The sequence below is a fragment of the Homo sapiens genome, chromosome 18, assembly GCF_000001405.40.
Source record: "Homo sapiens chromosome 18, GRCh38.p14 Primary Assembly".
Taxonomy (NCBI): Eukaryota; Metazoa; Chordata; class Mammalia; order Primates; family Hominidae; genus Homo; species Homo sapiens.
In genome coordinates, this window is record NC_000018.10 from 51,949,671 (window position 1) to 51,969,806 (window position 20,136).

At 40.6% G+C, this 20,136-nt stretch overlaps 3 annotated features.

The window, feature by feature from the left end:
* Positions 3,055-3,104: an enhancer, noted in NCBI's record as "active region_13335". NCBI's record gives its function as "activates an Ori minimal core promoter by ATAC-STARR-seq in GM12878 lymphoblastoid cells {active_cell/tissue: GM12878}" and the evidence as "EXISTENCE:reporter gene assay evidence [ECO:0000049][PMID:35858748]".
* Positions 3,135-3,194: an enhancer, noted in NCBI's record as "active region_13336". NCBI's record gives its function as "activates an Ori minimal core promoter by ATAC-STARR-seq in GM12878 lymphoblastoid cells {active_cell/tissue: GM12878}" and the evidence as "EXISTENCE:reporter gene assay evidence [ECO:0000049][PMID:35858748]".
* Positions 3,840-4,109: an enhancer, noted in NCBI's record as "active region_13337". NCBI's record gives its function as "activates an Ori minimal core promoter by ATAC-STARR-seq in GM12878 lymphoblastoid cells {active_cell/tissue: GM12878}" and the evidence as "EXISTENCE:reporter gene assay evidence [ECO:0000049][PMID:35858748]".

The window sequence follows — 20,136 nt, forward strand, 5'->3', positions numbered from 1 at the left end:
TGGGGGCCTCTGATCTCAGCCATGAAAACATTCCTCAGTTGGTTCCTCCAGGTAGCTGTTCCTCTAGCCGGGCCTAAGAAGGAGGCACACAGACCAAACCTAAACTGAAACCAAGCTACCATAGCCAATCTATAGGCTCGTGTATATGAAGAGTGAATGCTTGGTTTCAGACACTGAGTTTTGGGGTTTTTGCTTAGGAAGCATTATTGTGGTAATAGCTAAGTAATATAGACCATACCCTTAAAGTTTGCTGGTTAGAGGAGAGGTCCTTAAAATGATACGTTGTCTGATCTTATCTTGCTAGGAGTCTAAACGACCTAAGGCTTGGGAGGAGACTGGGTAAAGCACATCTTACCTGTGATCCTATTACTTTTGGTTAAATCTCCTAATACCCAGCTTATTCTCAAATTAAACTGTGAGTTAGTTGTGACTGAATGGTATTACTAGATTAGCATTTTTGACACCAAAAATTGCCCACATTTCTAAGCTCGTTGTGCCTTTGGGGTACTTGTCTTAGATGGCCTAGCTGGCCTAGTTGATCCCTAGTTGGCTCATTAATTGATGAGAAGACAGAGTGAGGTAGTAAAAAGTGCATAAGAAAAATCTAGGTTAAATTCCCAAATAGGTCAACTACTTATATTCTCAGCGAGGTTCTTATCTCACTGAGATTCAGTTTCTTCATCTGTAAGGTGGTGATAAAACTTTTCTGCAATTTTTTTGGTGAGTTTTGAAGAAACAGCATGCAAATTAAGTAAAATGTCTGGTGTAATGCTTGTTGTAATCTTTAATGATTGAGTACTTGCCACCTACTAAGCACATGATGTTTTACTTGTATTTGCTCTTGTCAGCAATAAAAAATGAGATTGGTAGTGTTATCATCCCCATTTTATGGATAGGAAGCTGAAGTAATAGTGTTTAAATAACTTGCTCAAGGTTATACGGTTAAGGAACGGTTGAGCAGAATTTTTACCCGGATTAGAATGTAGAAAGTTTCCAAGAGCAAGAGACCATCACATATCCTAATAGTAAGAAAAAATTAAAGAAAAATTTAAAAATTATAATTTTTGGCCAGGCATGGTGGCTCACACCTGTAATCCCAGGACTTTGGGAGGCCGAGGCCAGGGGGATCACGAGGTCAGGAGATCGAGACCATCCTGACTAACATGGTGAAACCCCGTCTCTACTAAAAATACAAAAAATTAGCCAGGCGTGGTGGTGGCTGCCTGTAGTCCCAGCTATTCGGGAGGCTGAGGCAGGAGAATGGCATGAACCTGGGAGGCGGAGCTTGCAGTGAGCCGAGAGCGCGCCACTGCACTCCAACCTGGACAACAGAGCGAGACTCCATCTCAAAAAAAAAAAAAAAATACAAATCAGCTTTGTTTCAGGAAGAAATAAATGCTTTCTAGGAAAGAAGGGTCTTATGGCTATTTTCATTTCTAGGGACATGGAAGAAAGATAATTAAGGACCCCAGAGGTAGGGCTAAGGAGAAACCAGCCTAACTTTTGACACACTTCAAATTCACACATCTGGGCAAGCACAATGAATAGAAACCCCAAGGATCCACATTAATAAAGCAAATATGCATCCAATCTTCAAATATTTCCCATGATGCCTTAATTGAGTGCATGAGAATAACCCACAGAGGGCTGGTGGCAAAGGAGGAAAACAGAGCATTTCTGAGGCAAAGTGTGCCTTCCCTAAATGAAAGTCAGCAGGTAACCAAAACAGGGCAGAAGAAAACTGAGCAAGATTGGCCTTATCCCAAAGAGCACAGGGCTTTTATGCCTGTAAGATAGTGCCACACTCAAAGGCAGGGTATAAGACAGGAGAGCGAGGTGAGATCCCACCTCCACAAGTTGCATGGGCCTTATTAACAGAACAGAAATACCCAGATGAAGGTTGGAAAAAGAAGAGTTAAGAGAGAACCGCTGCACTAAGGTGCATTCAGTCTTTACTGAAAGGTAAGGATAGGGCAGCAGAGTAGAGAGATTTCCCAAAGCACTGAAATCCAGGCAAGGGCTTCGGAGTGAGAACTCCCCGGGGACTCCAAAAAAGCTGATTGCTGAGTTATAAAGCTGAGAGAGATCTCTTGTAGTTCAGAAGGTTAGTGGCTGACTATGCAGCATAAAGATAAGTACATCATCCCAGTGGTGTTCAGATCCTAAGCTCGGCTTAGGGAAAGTTCTGTTCTCACCATAAAACATTTGAAGTCAGTGGTAGGCTGAATCATTCTAAAGCTGCAACAAGACGAAACCCAGCTTAATTGGATATTAGAGTGAATCAGCCTCATACTTACAGTCTGAGAGAAAAAGTTGTATGATCTTATCTTGGGGTAAACATTATTCCTTCCAGGCTCTTTTTTTTTTCATACAATGTCTGGCTTACAAAAAAATAAAAATAAGTAACCAAGAAACAAAGAAGCAGAAAAATAAGACCTATAACCTAGCATATAAAACAATCAACAGAAGCAGAACCACAGAAGACCCTGATGTTGGAATTAGCAGTCAAAGGTTTTAAAATAACTGTAATAAATATGTTTATAAATATCTAGTGGAAGTGGTGAACAATTTGCATAAACAAATGGAAAATTTCATTGAAGTGGAAACTAGATAAAAGAACTGAATGGAAACATAAGTGCTGAAAAATATAAGACATAAAGAGTTTATGTGATGAACTTAACAGCAGACTGGACATAGCAAAAGACAAGATCAGTGAACACAAAGTTTAATAAAAAATAACCAAACTGAAATACAAAGAAATAAAATAAATCAAATTACCGAGCAGAGAACTCACTACATGCATGGATATTTTAAATAATATAACATATGGGAAATGAAAGAGAGAAGAGAGTGGGGCAGAAAAAAATTAAACTTATAATAGCCAAGAATTTTCCAAAATTGACCAAAGACATCAACCCTCAGGTCCAAGAAGTTTAGTACTCCTGAGGCAGAATAAGTATAAGTAAAACACACTTATATATCTCATAGTTAAAAGGCTGAAAATCAAGGATAAAAGGGAAAATCATAAAAGCATTTAGAAGGGGTCAGAAAACTGTAGTCTGCAGGCTAGATGTGGCTCAGAAACTGATTTTTTAACAGCCCACATGTAACTGAGTAGCCTAACTTCAAAACGCATTTTTGGTTTCTTTCTTGCTTTTAGCCTTGAAACATACTTTAAAACTCTTGGTTTCCCTTCATTCCCATCAGACACTCCCTTGCACTGCTAGCATATCTGATTATATGCCTACTTACAAGTTCCAGGGGCTAATCTTGAGACAAACTAGGCATGGAGACCCAGCTGTGAAATTCTAGAGATTACCTTGAGGTGATAAGTCTACAATCTGGCCATTGTTAAGATGACACAGCCTGCACTCTTGGTGGACCATGACTTAAGAGAGCCACTGGAACAAGACACACAGACCTTGTACACAGCACCACTCCTGCATGCCTCTCATTCCAAGTTCCCCTTTTAAAATCCCTCTCTCCACGCTGGGCATGGTGGCTCATGCCTATAATTCCAACACTTTGGGAGGCCAAAGTGGGGCAATCGCTTGAGGCCAGGAGTTTGAGACCAGCCTGCTCAACATGGTAAAACCCCATCTCTACTAAAAATATAAATAAAATTAATAAAAAATAAAATAAAATCCCTCTCTGTAGCCTAAAGTTTAGAATGTTCTTTTCAGGGCATAAGCCTAGCCATTCCCCAGATGCTAACTTTGAATAAAGTTTTCTTTTCACCATACATTGCTTCTCATATTTTTGGCCTCTGAGCAGCGAGCCAGCAGACTTGCTTGGGGTTACAAATTTGGTGCCCCATGTGAGGACTGTGCATTTTGATTCCACTTGCCTGTCTTCCTGGTTTCCAATGAGCTAGGCAATTAGCTGTGGCAGTGTTCCAGAAATTAACTGTTCAAGCTACCAGGTGGGGCAAAAGCCCCTCGTAAATGCCAGCTGCTTGTGGCTAGCTGACCCTGTGGTTGGGGCTCTAGGGATTTTCCCAGGAGATGATGAGATGCTTTTTTCTTGGGGAATCTCCCTTCATTTCCCATCATGACACCAGCTGTCTACCATGCTTCGCTGGTGCAAGGAAAGTGACAACTGAAAAGTCACTGAACTTCAGAACTGGGTAGGTCAACCAGAGTGCATCCAGAAACCCTCTGTCTCCTCTGCGTTGTGTCACTTGGGCTCTGCTCTGGACCTAGCTGCTTGTGATACCATCTGTGTGTACATCATCTGTGGCACCACTTGGACTCTCCTCTGTTTGGACTTAGTTGCTCATGGGGCTTTCTGAGGCTTTAGAGTTTTTACCTAGTCCCCTTGGTGGGGATCAGTTTGAGATCAGGCTGTCTGAACATATAGCTGTATGTGTGTGGCATCTATATTTGGGCCCTTATCTCTCTTTTTCTCATCCTCTATTTCTCTCTTTCACTTGAAAGTGACTCACACAGCCTCTGCTCAATCCAGGAATCTGGCCTTGAAGGAGAACGACTTCCATCTCCCTGGCTTTTGGTTCAGTTGTCCTTCCTGGGACCCCAGAGTACTTCTTACAACTATGCCAGACCTTGTCGGGGAGGAAAGCATCAGAACTCTTTGGCAGATTTTTCTAAGCAGGGCCGTCTCTCTGCTTGTGTTTCTCAATGCTGTTTATGTGAGGAAAAGACTGAAAACACCTGGGCTAAATCCTTGAACAGTCCCAACTCCAATCCTTTAACCCTTTTTGTCTTCCTGGTTCATCATTTTATTAGCTGTCATTCTGTTACTGTTTACCAGGGTGGTGAATACAGCAGAACCTGAGTTTGGGGAAAGGTCAAGGTATCAAAATAAGCTGTGCTAGTTATTGCCACTCACCAACTTGCTCAGAGAGCTCATTCTTTGACATCCTTGACTGTCAGCTGTGGTGAGATTTGCACAAACATGCCTATTGGCATTGTGCATGATGTTATATAAACTGGAAGTGAAATTTCAGGAGAATCCGTCTGACTTCTGGTGATCTAGTTACACAAGACAACTGGTACAGGTGCAGAAGTAAGAGAGAAAACAGATGTTGTCATTGTAGATTTGGTTGACAGAGACAATTGGTACAGGTACAAAAACAGGGCCAAGATGGGTGGCAAAGTGTCAATCCATTCTGGGAGTCTCCTGGGAGATATCTTGGGTAACTAGATGGCCTATAGCTATGAACCCATGAGGAAGAGAAAAATGATTTTTTTAGTACAATACTGTTTGGACTCTGTATAAAGTCCAATTGTACTGTTGGTCTCCAAACAGAAGTACTCAATCCTGCACTCAAATACAGTTAGAATTGTTTTGTCAGAAGTCTGGAAAATGGGAGGAAATGCCTTATTTCCAGGTTTTCATGCTGTTGCATAATCAGGACTCTGGCCAGGGTGGGACATCAACTGCTGGCTGTGTAAAGGGAGGGAAAAGGGCCCTTCCCAACCAGACAGCCAGACCCAAAAGGAAAGAGATGAGGAAGAGATAGGCCTTTTTACTGCCTTAAATCTGGCCATTCCAATGGACCCAGATGCTATGGCTGCAGCTGATCCAGCAGCCACTCTGCTTGCAGTGACCCAGCTGTAGTGGCTCTAGTGGTTCCTCCAGGAGCTGCTCAAGCAGTCGTGCCCATGGCCACTGTGCAACCCCCTCCCATGGTTGCAACAGCAGCAGCTGTTCTTTTGGTGGCTGTCTCGGCTGCGTCAGCATTGCCTTATGAGGCACCAGACCTGGGGGCAAGCGCTGCTCCTCCGCCTCAGTATGATAAAGGATTTAGAAAGGTCTTTCCCTCCGAGACATGGCAGGGCACCAACTTTGAACAGGGTAAAACCATGACCAGAACAAGGCAAATACCCACTTAGATGGATGCCCATGGGCATCTTGGACCCATTGGATATAGCTGGATTTACATCCCCTTCTCAACGTCCAAAGTATTAAAGTGGAAAAGCTCCAACCCACCCTTATAGAGAGAACCCTCAGAAAATGACTGATCTTATCGAATCTATCTTTGCCACCCGTCAGCCTATCTGGGCAGATGCTTGGTCTCTTTTAACTATGCTCCTACCTCAGACAAGAGAAAGCTAGTCATAGATAAGGCAAATGAGGAGACTTGGTGTCTCCACAAAGCAAACACAAATGGTACTCTCAACCCACCAAGGGCAGTTCTGGCCATGAACCCTAATTGGGATCCCAATGAAAAGGGGGAGCGGTGGCTCACAATTGTAATCCCAGCACTTTGGGAGGCCGAGGTGGGTGGATCACCTGAGGTCAGAAGTTCGAGACCAGCCTGACCAACATGGTGAAACCCCATCTCTACTAAAAATATAAAAATTAGCCGGGCATGGTGGTGCATCCCTGTAATCCCAGCTGCTCTGGAGGCTGAGGCAGGAGAATCACTTGAACCCAGGAGGTGGAGGTTGCAGTGAGCTGAGACTGTTCCATTGCACTCCAGCCTAGGCAACAAGAGCAAAACTCTGTCTGGAAAAAAAAAAAAAAAAGGTGGAGGCAGGAGGGGAAAGAGCCTGACTAGAACATTACTAAACATGCATTCTGGTAAGACTAAGAAGGGGGTTGCCAAAGCAGAAGACCTAAAGGAAGTTCAAGCAATCACCCAAAAAGCAAATGAGGACCCCTCTGAATTCTTGGAACATATTTACCAAGCCTTCCATAGATATACTCATATAGACATGAAGAACCCTGAGAACTCAAGGATGACAAACATGACTTTCATACCACAGAGCACCCTTGATATAAAGGGAAAGCCAGAAAAGTCAGAGATTGCACTAGGAATGACCCTTTTTCAGATGGATGGTATTGCTTTCAAAGGATAATTGCCTTCAAAAGATACAATGGCAGGAAGCTGAAAAAGCAAAAACCAGCCACAGTATATATGGAGACAATCAGGAAACCTCCAAGTCAGAAGAAGAACAAAAGTTGGGGAGAGACTCTGGGCTGCAATTTTTGTGGCTATTGCAGGGAAGAGGATCATTAGAAGGCTGACTCCCCCTAAAAAGGGGATTCAACATCCAGAAAAAGGAGGTGCTCACTTAGGAAAAAGCCCATCGGCAAATGGTGGAACAGAGCTATGGCTCTGGCAGTAGATAGGGATACCCAGAGGCGCCCCTAAATCTCTAGAGCCAATTAAAATTTCCCCACAGTAGTTCTGGGTACAACAGACAGTGGGGAAGAAATGGATTGATTTTTTTTTGTCAACTGGGGTGTGACTTATTCAGTTCTTAACACCCCAGAAAGAAGAAGCACAGAGGTGACTGTACCTGTGACAGGAGTTACAGGGAGAATACAATAAAAAACTTTCTGACAGCCTTTAGAATGTCAATTGGGAAACCTGTAATTGACACACAGGTTCCTCTATATGCCAGAATGCCCCATATCTCTAACTGGGACAAGACCTGCTATGTAAGTGAAATACTCGAGTGACTTTTTTCCTAGAAAAAATAGCAGTTACGCCTGCAGGTCCCAGGTGAGAATGCACTGTGACGTGCAGATGCTGCTCACTTACCCTGAGAAGAAAGAGAAAGAGAGCTTTCCCCTAGAGGTCTAAAAGAGACTGACAAGACCCCAGATGAGCTAAAAATGCAAAACTGGTATATATAGAAATAAAAGAGGGAACTAAAATACCTTGGAAAAACAATATCTTTCGAAAAAGGAAGACTTTGAAGGAATTCAGCCTGTTTCACAAAAGTTTCTGGAAAATGGATGAATTCATCCTTGCAGCTCCCCGTATAACACTACCATTCTGCCTATAAGAAAGCCTCACTTGGCCAGGTGCAGTGGCTCAAACCTGTAATCCCAGCAATTTGGGAAGCTGAGGTGGGCAGATCACCTGAGGTTGGGAGTTCAAGACTAGCATGACCAACATGGAGAAACCTGGTCTCTACTAAAAATACAAAATTAGCCAGGCATGGTGGTGTATGCCTGTAATCCCAGCTGCTCAGGAGACTGAGGCAGGAGAATCACTTGAACCTGGGAGGCAGAGGTTGCGATGAGCCAAGATCACGCCATTGCACTCCAGCCTGGGCAACAAGAGCAAAAGAAAAAAAAAAAGAAAAACTCCATCTTAAGAAAGAAAAAACACCTCACTCAAACAAATATTGGTTTGCTCAAGACTTAAGTGCTATTAACAAAATCATCCAAGATATTCATCTGACTTTGCCTAATCCATACACTTTATTAACTGCTATACTTAGGAGCCTTAAGTGGTTTTCAGTGTTATACTGAAAAGATGCCTTTTTTTGCATTCCAATTGAAGAAAAGGGCCAGATGATATTTCCCTTTGAATGGAGAGGCCCAGAGACAGAAACAACCTTCCAATACTGTTGGCCAGTGTTGCCTCAAGGATTCAAATGTTCACCCATTATTTTGGGGGATATACTGGCAAATGATGTGAGATGCATACAATTAGATGAGGGAGTTCTGCTGCAATACATAGATGACTTGCTGAAAGCCAGTCCCAACTATGATAAATGCCTGTCCAAAACCTTCCTAGTTCTAAACCACCTGGCAATGTGCAGATATAAAGTGTCCCCACAAAGGCTCAAATCTGTAAATAAAGAGAAACCTATCTTGGATTCAAGTGAAAAGAAGGCAAAAGGAGTCTGATGTCTGGCAGAAAACAGGTAATAGCTGCCATTAAAGCCCCTGAGAATAGGAGACAGCTGCGAGGATTCTTGGGCATGGCCAGCTTCTGCTGGATCTGGATTCCTAATTTTGGAGTAATGGATAAGCTCCTTTATGAAGCCTTAAAGAGACTAGACTCAGAGTCCTTTCCCTGGACAACTGAATGCCAGCATGCATTTGACATCATCAAAGAAAACTAATATCAGCTCTACCTTTGGGTCTACCAGGTCCCCCAAAGCATTTTAAGCTCTATGTCAATGAAAAACAAGGCACAGGACTGGGAGTGCTTATCTATAAAATACCGAGGGATATGCTCCCAACCTATATCCTATTTTTCAAAACAACTAGATCAAACAATTAGGGGATGTCCTTCCTGTCTCTGGGCAATAGCTGACACTTGCAAGATCTTGCAAAGCAGAAAAGTTTACCATGGGACAGCCAGTCACCATGCTTGTGCCTCATGATGTGCTAACTTTGCTTGAGCAAAATGGAGGTTACTGGCTCACTGTGGGGCAAATGAACAAACATTAGGCCATCCTTTTAGATGACTCAAACATCGCCTTGCAAATCACCGTAGCTCTGAATCCTCCTCCTGGCTGCTGAGCCTAACCAGTGGCTGAGCATGACTGCCTGGAGATGCTTGATGAGTTTTATTCCAGCGGGCTGAACTTGTCAGATCAGATGATAATTGTTCCATATTGGGAGCTATACACTGATGGGAAGATCTTCATGGAAAACAAACAACATAGAGCTGGGTATGCCTTGGTGACTATGGTCAAGGTAATAGAGGGTTATGCCTGCCCGACCAGGTCCTTTGCTCAGAAAGCTGAACTGATTGCTCTTAACAGGGGCTTTAGAGCTGTGCCAAGGAAGGTGGATAAATGTTTACACTGACTCTAAATATGCCTTCTTGGTGGTGCATGCTCATGTGGCTATCTGGAATGAGAGAAGCCTTTTAATATCAGAGAATAAGGACATTAGATATCCAGTGGAAATCCTGGCCCTGTTAGAAGCAGTATCCTCACCTACCTAGGTCACCATCATGTACTGCCCTGGACACCAAAAAGATGATTTCCAAGTGATCAATGAAAAGCAAGCAGTGGACAAGGCTGCAAAATGGGCTGCTTGAGAAGCACAAATGCTTGGGGCTTTAATATCCACTTAGACCTATTGGATTTGAAACCTCTTTATACCAAGCAAGATGAAGGATTAGCCTGTGACTGGGGAGTTGCTAATGCAAACTCTAACTTGTCTTGAAAAACTAACACTCCTGGAATGGTCCTACTCTGTGAAGCCCTAGTGTGCCCAGTTTACAAACATCTGCATGAAAGAACACACTATGGGGGGTATGCGTCAGTCAACCTTGTGCAGCCACACGATAGGGGCCTATATCTCTGAAGAACTGTTCAGAAGATCACATGGGGACCCATTTGATGTGATAAAAATAATCCTCAGACCGAACACAATCCTCCTAAGAAAGGGGTACTGTACAATGGGCTGTGCCTGTTTAAAGATTAGCAACTAGATTTTACTCAAATGCCCAAGGCCAGTGGAAATTGCAGGCTCCTTCTGGTGTTTGTAGACACCTTCTCACTATGGGTTGAAGCATACCCCACTAAGTCTGAAGGAGTCACTGAAGTAGTCAAAGCTTTGTGAAAAGAAATAATTCCCAGATTCGAACTTCCATGTTTTATACAGAGTGACAATGGCCCTTATTTTATTTCAGCAGTTACCCACAAGGTAAGTCAAGCATTGCAGATCAAATGGAGGTTACATTTGTCATGAGACCAGTCAATGGGACAGATGGAGAAGACGAATCATATCATTAAGAAGATGGTGGCAAAACTCTTCCAGGAAACATTTAAGCTGGGATAAAGTTTTGCCCATTGCATTGCTCTGCATCACAGTAGCACCTGAAGTGGCCTTGGATTAAACCCTTTTGAAATTATTTACAGGAGACCCTTCCAGACCCTCTTACCAGGAATCCAGCCTTTGGATTTCTTAAATAACTTTAGAGTGGAGCAATATGTAAAACGATTAGGACAAATAATACTAACACTTTCATATACAGTGTGGTTGATACTCTTCTCCTTGTCCTCTTTGGCTGCTGTGAATTTTGCTGCTGGTGTACACTTTACATGGGGATACATAACAGACTTTCTCAAAAACAAAAAAGGTCCTCACACCACAATGCTCCAATAAGTTTCTGCTATGAGTCTGTGAAGCTGGGAATATTTCCAACTCCAATGAAATAGATTTCATTCTAGTACCCCCTAAGTACACCCCTTTTCAGCAAGAAGTAGACAAACTGACTCTGTCACCCACTTTCCATAGAAATGGAATAGAATTTGAAAGTGTGGACTTATAACCAAGTAGCCTAGCTTCAAAATGCATTTTGAAACTGTTTTCCTTTCTTGATTTTAGCATTGAAACATACTTTAAAAACTCTTTGTTCCCCTACCTTCCCACCAGACACTCCCTTGTACTGCTAGTTTGTCTACTTTCATGGTTAATCGGAAGTTTCAGGGACTAATCTTGAGAAAAACCAGGTATAGAGACACAGCTGCAAAATTCCAGAGATTACCTCAAAGTGGTTAGTTTATAATCTGGCCATTGTTGAGATGACACCTGCCTGTACCCCAGGTGGACCATGACTCAAGGTAGCCACTGGAACAAGACATGCAGACCTCGTACCCAGCACCACTCCTTCATGCTTCTCACTCCAAGTTCCCCTTTTTGAGCCCCTCTCTCCAGCCTGAAGTTTGGAATGGCCTTCTAAGGGAATAAGCCTGGCCATTTCTCAACTGCTAGCATTTGAATAAAATTGCTTCATTTCACCACACCTTGCTTGTTGAGTTTTCGGCTTCTGAGCAGTAAGCGCCTGAACTTGCATGTGGTTACACACAGTTTAAGAATTTTTTAATATCATTATTATATAAATATTTACATAATGGTCTCAATTTTTTATCTTAGTCTAAAAAGCTGAAATTATTTACTGTCTTCCCAATTACAGTAAAAAGTTTGGCAACTGTTGATCTAGAAAAATAAGAAATAATATGTTTAGGGGAGCAATATTAAGGTTAGTAGAATTCTCATAAAGATAAGGCTAGAGTCAATGGATAAACACCTTTAAAGTGCTGAAGAAGGAAAATACATAACTGTCAACCAAGCTCTGATATTTTTGTCCTGCTTTGGCATTCATTGCCATTTACCCAATTTAGTGTTGTGGAATGCATAGAAGCCAACCCCACATATCGTAATAATTGAACCTAGAAAGATTAAGTTAAACAGTGACAAACATAAGACCAATAGTTGAATTAAAACAATAACAAAAAATTCCCACAAAGAAATTAGAGGAGATATGCTTTACAGTAACGTGAATAAGAGGCAGTGCTTTGTAAATCAGGTCACTTCGCGTTTGCTCCCATCATTGGCTGAGCTGCTGCTAGCAGTGCACATGCTGAATACAACATTAGACTGAAGTCAAGAGGTAGATGTAGAATTGAGTCATACTTCTACCTCTTCAGTGTTTTTATGACAACTTCTGTCAGTTGTGGTATGCTGCTCTGTAAAATAGAGTTAAAAAATGCCCCCCACCCCTATCTTACTTGGTGGATTTGTAAATCAAGGGAACAAGAGTGAAATGAGCAACTGAAAGGGTCTTTGAATACTTCCAAAGTGAAGGTTAAAATATTACTGGAAAAACAAAATAACCAAAATGCCTATCACCAATAAAAATCAACAAGTGTATTCTTATGCTCCATGGACATAATTATAGAAAAAGGGAGGTGATGATTTTTTCCTACTCTGTCCTGGTAAGACCACTCCAGAAATGTTGAGTTTTTGAATGTTGCACATCAAGAGAGAAACAGACTATTAGGGACACCTTCAGAAGGTATCATTGCATATAATTCCAAAATTCTTAGGTGTAGAACATTTGAAAGAATGCAGAATTGTTTCTAAGTGAGTAGTAGCCTTGAAGAAAAGAGGTTCAGGGATCCCAAGAGACAAAATGGAAAAGCATGGAGTTTTTCCATTCAAATCTGTGTAAACCCTCACATTTGGAATCTTGGCTGAGACACACCTTGTGGTATGGCCCTGATAAAACTGACTAAGCTCCTTGAATCTCAGTTTTGGCATTTGTTAAATGGAGATAATATTAACTAACTTATCATGCTGTTGAGAAGATTCAGTGATACTATGTAAGATAATACAACCTATAGGCTGCTTTTATATAGAACTTAATCGGTATAGAATAATTTTAATTACTTATAAAGTACTTTAAACCATTGAGAGTTATATAGAAATGGAATTGGTGCTTCTCTTTGGTTGAGGAATTCAACTATAAGCTTGGCGGAGGGTATTCAAATGTCATTGGATGTAGTTGTACTATATGAAGCTTAAGGGGCTTTCCAATCTTCAGGTCTTATTTGGACAGTATCAATAAATATCGCTATGCATCAGTTTCTCAACTTTATTTTATTATCATGCAGAGCTTATGTGTATCTATACATAGGATGGAGTAGGGGTCAATAATAGAAAGCGTCAGGATAGATTTCTGTATAAGCCTTGTCAGAAGAGAAGAGTAGACTGAGAAGATAAGAGGCTTAAACAGTCTCTTTTACTGGATGTCAATCAAAATCATTGTTCTTTTCCTCTAAATTTCATAGGTTTTCACAATAACACCAGGTTCTCATTTTAAGAGCAGAAAAGTTCCATAGATCTTTGTGGAAAGATTTAAATATTTTACTAAATATCAAATGAGCTTTTGGAGTTCTCTAATAAATGCCAGGAGTTATATATTCTTTGAACTAAGAGACAGGAAACATGCTTCATGGTAGCTCTGTAGACATTTTATTTATGAAAGAAACAAAACAACAGAAGAAACATCTGCAAAAATGACTAGAAATTGTCAGACTTGTAGACATGTTGTTCTTTGTCTCATGCTTTAATAATATATGGAAGACCAGCTTACAAGAAAGTTCTCTGTTTAGTATTGTATCAGCAACAATGACTGAACTACAAAGGAATGCATAAGGAGAAATGCTCTTAATGGAACACTTGAGGGCTATTTGATAGATCTACCTGGAGAAGGAAAATACATTCTGGCAAAAGAGATATTGTGATTGTCATGGGCCTGCCAGGAGACTTTTTTCCCCTGAGAAGTTAATGTTTTTCTCTGACTGAGAGGTCCTAATTTTGCATGTTGATTAAATTAGAATCTACACAAAAGAGGTTTGTTGACATGATTTGCTTTTACCTGTCCTGATTTAGCCATATTTTCTTTCCCTATTTACAACTGCACAGATGCTGAAAAAAATGAGGCCTAAAATTTTGGGTGTAATCTAAGGCTGACCTCTAGATTCAAAGATTAATTTGAGTCCCTCTGTAGTCAAAACAGCTAAATTAGGATAACATTGAGTTTTTTCATTGTTTTACTACTGTCTATTACTTTTTGTATTCTTTTTTTTTTTTTTTTTTTTTTGAGACAGGGTCTTGCTCTGTCGTCCAGACTGGAGTGCCATGGCATGATCTTGGCTCACTTCAACCTCTGCCTCCTGGGTTCACATGATTCTCCCATTTCAACCTCCCAAGTCGCTGAGGTGCAGAACACCACGCCTGGCTATTTTATTTTATTTTATTTCATTTTTTGTGGAGATGGGGTCTCTTCACATTGCTCAGGCTGGTCTTGAACTCCTAGACTCAAGCAATCCACTCGTCTTGGCCTCCCAAAGTGCTGGGATTGCAGTTGTGAGCCACTATGCTCGGTCATCATTTAATCGTCTGTTTGATGAAAGAAAATGCCACAAAAATGTCCAGCCATTTTTCCATGTCTCCTTCCCCATTCCTTCCCTACCTTCTCAACACAATCCAATTTCCATTCCCATTTGGCTCATGGGAAACAGCTTTCTAGGAATCGAGAAGCAAATCTGCCCATGACTCATATTCTTCATACCTGCCTCTGTGCCTGGCTCACTACTGCCTTTGCACTCAGGGAAAAGATTTCTTGGGAGAACTTCATTCAGGTCGGGTCAGCTCCTCAGGAAAACAGACCTAAACCTGAATTCAGGTCATCTTCATTTTTAATTCAGGTCATCTTCATTTTTAATCTGAACTTGCCTACTGCTGTCATTTTTTCATCTGCTTTTGTAAACTGATCCCCCTACCCCAAAAGTAGCATCTCTTTATTGTTTTTTTTGTTGTTGTTGTTTTGTATTTTTCTTTTTTCTGTGTGTGTGTGTGTGTGTGTGTGTGTGTGTGTGTGTGTGTGTGACAGGGTCTCGCTCTGTCACCCAGGTTGGATTGCAGTGGAGTGGTCTTGACTCACTCAGCACGCTGTGTCTCAGCAAGCTGGGAAGATTTTGTCTGTTTGTTTGTTTGTTTTTAGTAGAGACTGGTTTTCACCATGTTGGCCAGGCTGCTCTCAAACTCTTGGCCTCAAATGATCCACCCACCTCAGCTTCCTAAAGTGTTGGGATTATAGGCGTGAGACGCCATGCCCAGACAATTTCTTTTACTCTTTGAAGTGCTTTTTCTCCTGTCTCGGTCATGACACTTTTAATTTATTTTTAATAGCTTTATTCAGATATAATTGACAAACCATACAATTTGCCAATTTAAAGTGTACAATTCAATGGCTTTCAGTATATTTAAAGTTATGCATCTGTCACCACAATCAATTTTAGAACATCTTTGTTACTCAAAAAAAAAAAAAAAAAAAAAACACATTTCCAAGACCCAGCCTTTCAGTCCAAGGCAACCACTAGTCTATTTTCTGTCCCCATACTTTTTCCTATTCTGGATGTTTCACATAAATCATACAAATTGTGGTCCTTTGTGACTGGCTTCTTTCTTTATTTTTTTGAGATGGAGTTTTGCTCTTGTTGGCCAGGCTGGAGTGCAATGGCATGGTCTTGGCTCACTGCAACCTCAGCCTCCCCGGTTCAAGTGGTTCTCCTGCCTCAGCCTCCCAGGTAGGTGGGATTACAGGCACCTGCCACCATGCCTGGCTACTTTTGTATTTTTAGTAGAGACGAGGTTTCACCATGTTGGCCAGGCTGGTCTCACACTCCTGACCTCTGGTGATCCGCCCACCTCAGTCTCCCAAAGTGCTGGGATTGCAGGTGTGAGCCACCTTGCCCAGCTGCTTCTTTCACTGGTGATAATGTTTTCAAGGTTCATCCAGGTTGTAGCATGTATCAGTATTTCATTTATCAAATCGCCAAAAAATATTTATCCCTTTATCTGTTGTTAGACATTTTTTGGCTGTTATGAATAATGCTGCTATGAACATTTGTGTACAGGTTATTGTGAAGATGTGTTTTAATTTCTCTTGGTTATATAATAACCAGGAGTGGAATTACTACATCATATGGTAAGTCTATTTAACTTTTTGATGACTTGCCAAATTGTTTTCCAAAGTGGATACACTGTTCTATATCTAGCAATATATGAGGGTTTCTGTTTCTCCACACCATCACTAACACTTGCTATTATCTGTCTCTTGGCTTATAGCCTTCCTAGTGGGTGTGAAATGGTATCTCATTGTGATTTTGATTTGTATTTCTTTAATGGTTAATGATGTTGAGTATCTTTTCACATTCTTATTAGCCATTTGTATATCTTCTTTGGGAAAATGTTAAAATATGCCTACTCTTTTAGATTATTTGTCTTTTTATTATTGAGTTGTAATTGTTCTTTACTTTCTAGATACAAATCCTTATCAGATACATAATTTGTAAAATTTTCCCCCATTCTGTGGGTTGTCTTAAAACATGACATTTTGCCAGGCCATTTTTCTCCTACTCACTAATATTTGCCCATGGAAATGGCTTAGTAAGGTGTTGTCATGATAGCTTTAACCGTATAAAATTACCAACTCCATCATTTACTTTTACATTCAATTAATTTGTTTCCCAGTGCAGAGCATGTGCCTTTTGTTGCTTATAGATTTGTTTTAATATATTCTCTCTTCTTTTTTGAGTTTCTGTCTGCAGAATAAACCATTTTAAGAATATTTAAGAATATGGATTAGAAAACATGTGAAAGTAAGGGTGGGTAAATGCTGGATGAAAAATAAGTTGTTTTGTGAAGATTGCTGTGAAAACCAGAAGCTACCCAAATAACTTCTATATAGTAAACCAAAAGGGAAGACTATCAGAAATATGGAGAAAAAATACTCGGAAACACAAGTGACAATGATAATGGGCCACATGTTCAGGGTTCCACCTGCAGGGAAGGGAAGGACTGTATTTCTTATCCAATGAGGTCTCATCTAATGAGGAAACTTGTGTCTGGCAATTTGGATGGTCATCTTTTTATGTTGGCTTTAGGCTACACTGTGGCTCCATAAAATGTTACAGTAAAAAGAGAAAATCCAGGACTCTGAGTACTGAGAAAGTTCACATTGAATTCAGATTTCCTATTTCCTGTAAGAAAAATTTAGAAAGGCTAAAATATTTCCTGATTTGGAAAGGTGGCAACCACTTGATGTAATACTTCATGTAAATAGTGTGTAGGGTAGATGGCAATGATGATGATAGTGATAATAACGGTGATGAGGATGGTAGTAATAATAATTGCATCGCTCTATAACGTTTTGATTTTTCTTTTTTTATTATACTTTAAGTTTTAGGGTACATGTACACAACGTGAAGGTTAGTTACATATGTATATATGTGCCATGTTGGTGTGCTGCACCCATTAACTCGTCATTTAACATTAGGTATATCTCCTAATGCTATCCCTCCCCCCTCCCCCCTCACTCCACAACAGGCCCCAGTGTGTGATGTTCCCCTTCCTGTGTCCATGTGTTCTCATTGTTCAATTACCACCTATGAGTGAGAACAAGCAGCGTTTGGTTTTTTGTCCTTGCGATAGTTTGCTGAGAATGATGGTTTCCAGCGTCATCCATGTCCCTACAAAGGACATGAACTCATCATTTTTTATGGCTGCATAGTATTCCATGGTGTATATGTGCCACGTTTTCTTAATCCAGTCTATCATTGTTGCACATTTGGGTTGGTTCCAAGTCTTTGCTATTGTGAATAGTGCCACAATAAACATATGTGTGCATGTGTCTTTATAGCAGCATGAATTATAATCCTTCGGGTATATCCCCATTAATGGGATTGCTGGGTCAAATGGTATTTCTAGTTCCAGATCCCTGAGGGATTGCCACACTGACTTCCACAATGGTTGAACTAGTTTACAGTCCCACCAACAGTGTAAAAGTGTTCCTATTTCTCCACATCCTCTCCAGCACCTGTTGTTTCCTGACTTTTTAATGATTGCCATTCTAACTGGTGTGAGATGGTATCTCATTGTGGTTTTGATTTGCATTTCTCCGATGACCAGTGATGATGAGCATTTTTTCATGTGTCTGTTGGCTGCATAAATGTCTTCTTTTGAGAAGTGTCTGTTCATATCCTTTGCCCACTTTTTAATGGGGTTGTTTGTTTTTTTCTTGTAAATTTGTTTGAGTTCATTGTAGATGCTGGATATTAGCCTTTTGTCAGATGAGTAGATTGCAAAAATTTTCTCCCATTCTGTAGGTTGCCTGTTCACTCTGATGGTAGTTTCTTTTGCTGTGCAGAAGCTCTTTAGTTTAATTAGATCCCATTTGTCAATTTTGCCTTTTGTTGCCATCGCTTTTGGTGTTTTAGACATGAAGTCCTTGCCCATGCCTGTGTCCTGAATGGTGTTGCCTAGGTTTTCTTCTAGGGTTTCTATGGTTTTAGTTCTAACATTTAAGTCTTTAATCCATCTTGAATTAATTTTTGTATAAGGTGTAAGGAAGGGGTCCAGTTTCAGCTTTCTACATATGGCTAGCCAGTTTTCCCAGCCCCATTTATTAAATAGGGAATCCTTTCACCATTGCTTGTTTTTGTCAGGTTTGTCAAAGGTCAGATGGTTGTAGATATGTGGCATTATTTCTGAGGGCTCTGTTCTGTTCCATTGGTCTATATCTCTGTTTTGGTACAAGTACCATGCTGTTTTGGTTACTGTAGCTTTGTAGTATAGTTTGAAGTCAGGTAGCATGATGCCTCCAGCTTTGTTCTTTTGGCTTAAGATTGAATTGGCAATGCGGGCTCTTTTTTGGTTCCATATGAACTTTAAAGTAGTTTTTTTCCAATTCTGTGAAGAAAGTCATTGGTAGCTTGATGGGGATGGTATTGAATCTATAAATTACCTTGGGCAGTATGGCCATTTTCACGATATTGATTCTTCCTACCCATGAGCATGGAATGTTCTTCCATTTGTTTGTATCCTCTTTTATTTCGTTGAGCAGTGGTTTGTAGTTCTCCTTGAAGAGGTCCTTCAGATCCCTTGTAAGTTGGATTCCTAGGTATTTTATTCTCTTTGAAGCAATTGTGAATGGGAGTTCACTCATGATTTGGCTCTCTGTTTGTCTGTTATTGGTGTATAAGAATGCTTGTGATTTTTGCACATTGATTTTGTATCCTGAGACTTTGCTGAAGTTGCTTATCAGCTTAAGGAGATTTTGGGCTGAGACGATGGGGTTTTCTAGATATACAATCATGTCATCTGCAAACAGGGACAATTTGACTTCCTCTTTTCCTAATTGAATACCCTTTATTTCCTTCTGCCTGATTGCCCTGGCCAGAACTTCCAACACTATGTTGAATAGGAGTGGTAAGAGAGGGCATCCCTGTCTTGTGCCAGTTTTCAAAGGGAATGCTTCCAGTTTCTGCCCATTCAGTATGATATTGGCTCGGGTTTGTCAGAGATAGCTCTTATTATTTTGAGATACATCCCATCAATACCTAATTTATTGAGAGTTTTTAGCATGAAGGGTTGTTGAATTTTATCAAAGGCCTTTTCTGCATCTATTGAGATAATCATATGGTTTTTGTCGTTGGATTTGTTTATATGCTGGATTACATTTATTGATTTGTGTATGTTAAACCAGCCTTCCATCCCAGGGATGAAGCCCACTTGATCATGGTGGATCAGCTTTTTGATGTGCTGCTGGATTCAGTTTGCCAGTATTTTACTGAGGATTTTTGCATTGATGTTCATCAAGGATATTGGTCTAAAATTCTCTTTTTTTGCTGTGTCTCTGCCAGGCTTTGGTATCAGGATGATGCTGGCCTCATAAAATGAGTTAGGGAGGATTCCCTCTTTTTCTATTGATTGGAATAGTTTCAGAAGGAATGGTACCAGCTCTTCCTTGTACCTGTGGTAGAATTCAGCTGTGAATCCATCTGTTCCTGGACGTTTTTTCGTTGGTAAGCTATTAATTATTGCCTCAATTTCAGAGCCTGTTATTGGTCTATTCAGAGATTCAACTTCTTCCTGGTTTAATCTTGGGAGGGTGTATGTGTTGAGGAATTTATCCATTTCTTCTAGATTTTCTAGTTTATTTGCATAGAGGTGTTTATAGTATTCTCTGACGGTAGTTTGTATTTTTGTGGGATCAGTGGTGATATCCCCTTTATCATTTTTTATTGCATGTATTTGATACTTCTCTCTTTTCTTCTT